Here is a 7,702-nt window from a genome sequence, read left to right as displayed (position 1 = left end):
TCAGTGAGTGCTGCTCACTATTCTGAACACCAAATGTGTTCCTGGACAAAGTCTGTCAAGGGCCACAGAGATTTAACCGATTCCACACTCTCCAAACTCCTGCCCGTTCCACATGGGGTAGAGTTTCCCAAACCTGGTTGGAAGTCAGCAAAAACTGGGGAGCTCATTTCTTAAACATAATATAAGAGAATGTGTTCAAAGTATCATTTTATCATCATAATACAATCTATATGTTACTTATAAGAAAAATGAATTTAAAAAGCAGGTATGTCTCATAGGCTACAGCTTAAGGACAAGATTCGGGGGAGTGGAAGTAAGGAGTAGGCTGGATAGCTCCCCAGTGCACAGTGGCCCACAAGGACCACAGGGAGTGTGTCTGTTTCTATGGGTGACACCAGGCTGGGCAGTCTCCAGCATCAGCATTAATTATGCCAAGACTCGCTCTGTCAGGCCCCAGATCAGGGGAGACTATGTATAGGATATTTGGACGACCCCACACATGGCCCAAGCTCCTTCTAACCTTCTGTGCCTCATACCCCTGCTTAATTCCAGCATCCCTCAGCTCTCACCTCATACATCACTTTTTGGGGAGGCCTTCCTTCACATCCCAATCAAGTCAACACTCCAGTTCAAATGTTCTCAAAATGCTCCATTTCTCCTTCAGAGATCACAGTTTAATTCATTTTAAGAATTGTTTTGAGTCACTATCCCCCAAATGAATGTGAGACTTTGACAGAGGGGGCTGCCTCTGTATCTCCAGCACCCAGCACAGCACCTGGCCCCTTTGCAAAGGGCTCAATAAATTGTTGAATGAGTGAATCCCATCTTCAAGAGAAATAGCTCTTTTCTGATTGTTCCTTATTTATTTGTTATCCTAAATTTTCCTACCATTAATTCAAGTGAAAGTAATTCATTTTAATGTGGTCTGTATAGCTACTTTTTATTTATTTCAAAAAAGAAATACTTTATTTCTTAAGATAACTTGAGAACAGGTTATTCATACATTAGAAATAGGGCTAGGGGCCATGGCTCATGCCTGTAATCCCAGCACTTTGGGAGGCCGAGGTAGGAGGATTGCTTGAGGCCAGGAGTTTGAGACCAGCCTGGGCACAAAGTGAGACCTGTGTCTCTTTAAAAAAAATTTTAAAAATTAGCTGGGTATAGTGGTGCTTGCCTGTAGTGGCGCACCTTTAAACCCTGACCTGTCTGGCTAAAGTATTTCATGAAGCCTGTAGTCCAGATACTTGGGAGGGTGAGGTAAGAGGATCACTTGAGCCCAGGAGTTCGAGGCTGTGGTGAGTGATGATTGCGCCAGTGCACTCCAGGCTAGGTGACAGAGTGAAACCTTGTCTCAGAAAAAAAAAAGAAAGAAAGAAAAAGAAATAGCTGCAGATTATTGATCTCCACCTTTTTGCAATAAGATTTTATTCTAGCATCCTTCTCCTTGCTGCCCATGTGCCCATTGGCTTTTCAGCTTTGTTTTTGAGAGAAAATATGAACACACACCCCTCCACTTGAGTTGTAGTATACTCACTATACAGGCCAAAGGTAACGTTTAGCTTCATAAAATTCCATCTGAACATAGACAATCATTGTCCAAAACTCACAGTCAAGAATTGTGATTGTTTGCCTTCCATTGGTTGGGTTGATTCCAACAAGACCTTTGCTACTTAAAATAGGGTCCCAGCATCAGGAACACATTAGCATCACTTGGAAGTTGTTAGAAATGCAGAATCTTAGTCCCCATCTCAGACCAAAGAATTAGAATATGTGCTTTAATAAGATACCTCAGTGACACACATGCAAAGAAAAGTTTCAGAAATGCTGGATTATCAAGCTGTTCAAAGTTTGTGGTTCTTCTGAGTAAAGCAGAGTACTCATGGCTGGGTCTGGAAAAGCTTTTCTCTTACAACTCTTCATGAAATCTTAACTGAATGTGAAAAGGCTAAAAAAAGGTTTAGTTAGTAATTTTCCAAGTAATCATGTTCGACAGGCCTGTATACTGCTTACAAAATTCGCATTGGTCTTATTTCTCTGATGAATGCCACATACTCACTTCTCTTTACCTGTTTCATGTTTGCATAGGTCCAGCAAAGGTATGTCTGGTTGGTCAGTATCACTGAGCTGTGGCCATGTTTAGAGGCTCATTCCTAGAAAAATCAATTAACTTTCAATTAGCAATTAACTTTCATTGCAAACGAAATGAAACAAAACAAAGAAAACCACCTTTAAACCTTGACCTGTCTGGCTAAAGCATTTCATGAAGCCATGGAAAACCACACGGTAAAGGATAAAGGATGGGTAAGTATTGAATATACTACAGATGTAGATTAGTGAAGAGAAAGGATAACTTACCTCTTTCATGGGCGATCAACTCACAAGAGCTCCTCATATGATGACAGCTGGTGGCTGGAATCAGCTCACTTTTGAAGCTCTGATTCCTCCCTAAGCAAGCAAGCAATCATGTGGTGTGTGTGTGTGTGTGTGTGTGTGTGTGTGTGTGTGTTGTTGTTGTTGATGGTTTCCTTTTCCAGAAAAAAAAAAGATAACTAAATTAGATTTCTTACCATTATCATTTTTATATTAGTTTAGATATAAAAAGCCAGGTTTCTGAAGATTTGACTACCATTAAACAAGATGAAAAAGACTTGATAGACCAAATAATGGTGAGGTTGTAGGCAAAACTAAAGGCTGCCCTTTTATATCCAGTCAGCCAAATTGCCCTCCCAACACTGGATGTCACAGACTCTAAACCAAATAATGAAATGTTACAGCTGGCAGAGCTCGTAAAAATCTAGTCTAACACCTTATTTGTTCATGATGTAGTGTAGATGACACTAAGAAATTAAAGTGACTGGCTATCAAACCAAAAACTAGCATCTGGGTCTTCTGATTTGGAATCAAGCATTATGATTGTCTGAACCGCTCTATACACAAAACATAATACCTCTCCTTATGGAAAAACAGCAACAAAACAACAAAAATACATAAGGGCAGGGACTGTGACTGTTTATCGCTTGATCTCAGATAGCAGAAAATCATGTATTTACTAGCACTCAATAAATACTTGTTGAATGACTTGCAACAGATGAAGATTTGTTAAATATCTACAGAGGGTAATTATCTACTGTAGATATTAGTTATATTACAAGTACATATTACTATATAATTATATATTACTATAATTAGGCAGTATATGGGGGCATGTTTACATTATTACTTTCATTTTATACTACTTTATTATCACTACCATTATTATTATTATTATTGTTGTTGTTATCAGAGTCGTATACAGCTAACACATAAGGCAAAGATAGAGGTCATCATTTTCCCTCATTTGGGAAAGAAGAAAAGGAAGACTGCTAGAAACTGGGTGTATATCATTCCTTGGAACCTGTAGATTTCTGGCTCTGCCTTTTACTGCCATTTACAACCAACCCTGGCACATAATAAATGCTAGATAAATGGCAGCTGTGAGTATCACCACTGCTGTTGTCACCATGTTACCATCATGGCTTTGTGCCAAGCCTAGTGCTCCATCTTTTCTTTTTAATTTTTTTGGGGGACTTGAGGGGACGAGGTCTTGCTTTGTTGCCCAGACTGTTGTCTCAAATTCCTGGGCTCAAGCGATCCTGCCTCGGCCTCCCAAAGTTCTGGGATTACAGGCTTGAGCCACAACACCCGGCCACCTGCTCCATCTTGATTTTCCCCTGACCCACATGGATCCCATGAATCTACCATAACAACTACTTCTCCCTAGGTGGACTGACCTCTCTGAACTTTGGCACTCACATTTTACATAGATTACAAAGCACCTGCTTAGTCTCCTCCTGTCTAGTCAAATTACCAAGAACAATTTTCAGGTTTTGGATTTTTTTTTTTAATCGAGTTTGTGAGACCCAATACAAATAAATTAACATGTACATCAGGCACTAGAGCAACAGACAGACACAGAGGAGAGAATGAATATATCTGAGTGTAGGACCCCAAAGAGGGCTGAACTGATCCTGACACCAGCAGGGACCCAGGAACCTTCTAAGCCAACTTTTCCCGAGGAATATTCCTCAGTTACTTCCTTTGTATCCACATAGCACTTATGTTAGTGGCATTTAGACCAAGTCAGAGGATTCCTACAAATTCAGAGGGCTTTTTTTTTCCTTTTCTTTTGTTGGTAAGAGAAAAAATATATTTTAATGATTCAATCAAGGCAAGTTTTAGGGGTACAGGTCACGTTTGGCCATGTGCTTGACTGTTTTAGAAGTCACAAGACGGGGTCACAATGAATATATCAATCAGGATGTCTATGGACCCAAGCCTCACATGATATGTTATAGAAGGTAACTGACACCTTCCATAACAATTACACAGAGTGATAAAAGAACAGAGTAATAATAGTGATAACAGCAGCCATGTAAGCTCTGGTTCCAGCAAATTCAGGACATTTGGAAGCTCCTGAGGAGGCAGTGTGGGGCTGGGGACCAGATCCCAGATCTAGTCTGAGTTCCTGCTGACCTAGTCTCTGCAATTCCCTGAAAGCCATTCCAGGTTTTCCCATTGGGCCATAAACCTGCCAGGGTTTTTTGTTTGGAGAAGTAGTGAATTCCAGGCCAGATTTTTCTCTCAACCCATCAGCTGGGGCTGTGAGCCCAACTGCAGCCTTAGCCCGCGCTTTGCTTCTGCTGCACTGGGTTGACTCAGCCAACCTCCCGGGTTGCGAGCGATGAGCAGCCTCAATACCCGGTTTCTCTGTCTGCAGCGGGTTTACCTCTCTTTCAAATGGCCCGCTTGCTTTGGGGCTTCAATGCTGGCAGAGTCCCTGCCACTCCTTCACCCTCAATCCCAGATATTAGAGCAGACTACCAACAGCTTGGTTCCTGAACTCCAGGCGGCTTCAGCTACCCTTGGGCTTGCAGGCACCGGGATCCCGGTCACCCAGTCTCCAGCCCGACTTGTCAGCTGACAGGACCCTTAGGAAGGAATGTTTCCCACCACTTCCAAAAATTAGAGACCACTTGGATGTGTGCCTTTGTGATTAGAACTGTCACGAAAGGGCCAAGGACCCCACTAGGACCACACACCAGGACAAATAGAGTTCATGCGGGAAAGCTAGGACAGGGCAGGCAGGACCTCCTCCCCACCCCGCCTTGTCACACAGAGAGATGCGCACTCTGCACTTAGGTCTGTGAAAACAGCTCCTTGAAAATCAACAAAAGGCGGAGGAAACGAATCTTCAGGGCAAGCTGCATTTGTTCCTCCTTAATCAAAGTAGTGCCTTTCTTACCTCCAGGGCTTTACCAGCACAAACAACATTTCATTAATCTTTGTAACCCCACCAATACTGAGAAAGTAAAAATCAGCGCTGCCATTCATCAGGCTACGATAACAGACAGATAAAGCCAGCCGCAAAGTTAATAGCCAACGATATTTCTCCCAAGGACACACTGCTGCTGAAAGGTGCCGTATGACCCCCTTCTTAGAGTGACAACAGCTTTCTTAATGAGTAACCCTGTCCTCTGACATGGGAGACTTTCAAAATTTTGCTGTTTGAAATTACATCAGTAACAATGAAACATCCCACTCTTACCTGGGGGAACTAAGAGAAGCGACCTTGATTTACCGCCCCGGCGCAGAGGTTCAGATAAAGGTTTCTGGACACAGTATTGGCATTTTCTTAATAGTGTCCAAGGAAATATGATCCCGTGTCCATTTCAGTCCAGACCTGATGATAACCCTTTTATACTCACACCGCATTGCTTAACACACATTAAAACACTCCTTCATTTAATTTTACAAAGACTCCATCTTTTCCAGAACTTTTATAGTTAACTATTTCTTCCTTCATTTGTCGAGAAGTTCCATGATTCTTCCACTATGTGATTTTTCTTATTGCAATCAGCCAAAAAACAAACAAACAAACAAAAACTGACTTTTCAGACTACAGATTTGTCCCTAGTTGTCTTAGGCTAAGTGGGCCATGACAGTACCAAGCACAGGGACTTGCATTTAATAGCGATGTACCTACTTCTGATGGATTCATAAACAGTCCATGTGGACTGTGAAATACATGAAGATATGGTGTAATTATATAGAGACTGGCAGTGTTCATTATCCTAAGTGAGTGTATTGCCTTTTTCAACTATTATCTAAGTGTTTTACTGAGAAAGTGAGGTATATGAGAAAATGACAAATTTATTTGTTTATAAAGTATACAATTCAGTGGTTTTTAGTGTAGCCACAGAATTGTGGAATCATAACCACTAACTCGAAGACTTTTTTTTTTTTTTTTTTTTTGAGACAGTTTCGCTCTCGTTGCCCAGGCTGGAGTGCAATGGCGCAACCTCGTCTCACTACAACCTCCGTCTCCCAGGTTCAAGAGATTCTCCTTCCTCAGCCTCCTGAGTAGCTGGGATTACAGGTGCCTGCCACCACACCCGGCTAAGTTTTTGTATTTTTAGTAGAGACGGAGTTTCACCATGTTGGCCTGGCTGGTCTCGAACTCCTGACCTCAGGTGATTCACCCGCCTCAGTCTCCCAAAGTGCTGGGATAGCAGGTGTGAGCCACCCCGCCAGGCCCGGGACATTTTTATCACGCCAAAAAGAAACCCCATAACTATTAGCAGTCACCCCTGATTCCTTCCTTCCCATGTCCCCTGGCAACCACAAAACTACTTTCTGTCTCCAGGGATCTACCCTTTCTGGACATTTCATTTAAACGGAAGCACATAATATGTGGCCTTTTGTGACTGACATCTTTCACTTAGCATAATGTTTTCAAAATTCATCCATCAAAAAAAAAAAAACCGGCTCATCCACGTTATAGCACGTATCAGTTCTTCATTTCTTTCTCTTTCTCTTTTTTTTTTTTTTTACCAAATAATATTCCACTGTATGGCTATGCTACATTTTCTTTCATCTATTCATCAGTTGATGTACATTTGAGTTGCTTCCACTTTTTGGTTATTATGAATAATGCTGCTATGAACATCTGTGTACAAGTTTTTGTACGAACATATGTTTTCCATTCTCTTGGGCATATATTTAGAAGTAGAATTGCTGGATCATATGCTAACTCTATATTTAATTTTTCAGGAACTTCCAAACTGTTTCTCAAAGTGACTAACAATTTTATATTCCTACCAGTAGTATATGGGTGTTCCAATTTCTTCACATCCTCCTCAACTCTTTTTATCTGTCTTTTTTACTATAGCCATCCTAGTGTGTGAAATTATGTCTTGTCATGTTTTTACTTGCATTTCCTTAGTCACTAATGATATCGAGCATCATTGGCCACCTTTGGAGAAATGTCTATTCCTTTGATCAGTGTTTAACTAGGTTGTCTTTTTATTGTAGAGTTGTAAGAGAATTTCTTTTCCTTTTCTTTTTTTCTCTTTTCTTTCTTTCATCTCATTCTGCTGGAGTGTAGTGGCACAATCATAGCTCACTGTAACCTAAAAGTCCTGGGCTCAAGTGATCTTCCTTACTCAGCCTCTCAAATAGCTAGGACTGCAGGCATGCACACCATGCCTGGCTATCAAAATTTTTTTTGTAGGGATGGGGGTCTCACTATGTTGCCCAGGCTGGCCTCAAACTCCTGGCCTCAAATGATCCTCCCAACTCAGCCTCCCAAAGCACTGGGATTATAAGCATGCGCCACTGTACCTGGCCTGTAAGAGTTCTTTATATATTCTGGATACAAGCCCCT

General features: G+C 41.5%; 1 long non-coding RNA gene across 1 annotated transcript; it reads right to left on the bottom strand.

The window, feature by feature from the left end:
* Nucleotides 1-1,761: 1,761 nt before the first annotated feature.
* On the bottom strand, nt 1,762-2,674 carry LINC02722 (long intergenic non-protein coding RNA 2722). Its single transcript, NR_187444.1, has 3 exons — nt 2,568-2,674; nt 2,356-2,445; nt 1,762-2,150 (listed from the first exon to the last, which is right to left on the bottom strand). It is a non-coding gene; the product is annotated as a long intergenic non-protein coding RNA 2722 (long non-coding RNA).
* Nucleotides 2,675-7,702: the final 5,028 nt, after the last annotated feature.

Source organism: Homo sapiens, chromosome 11 (genome assembly GCF_000001405.40).
Source record: "Homo sapiens chromosome 11, GRCh38.p14 Primary Assembly".
Taxonomy (NCBI): Eukaryota; Metazoa; Chordata; class Mammalia; order Primates; family Hominidae; genus Homo; species Homo sapiens.
The sequence above is the reverse complement of the archived record's forward strand: the minus strand, read 5'-3'. Positions and strand labels throughout refer to the sequence as shown.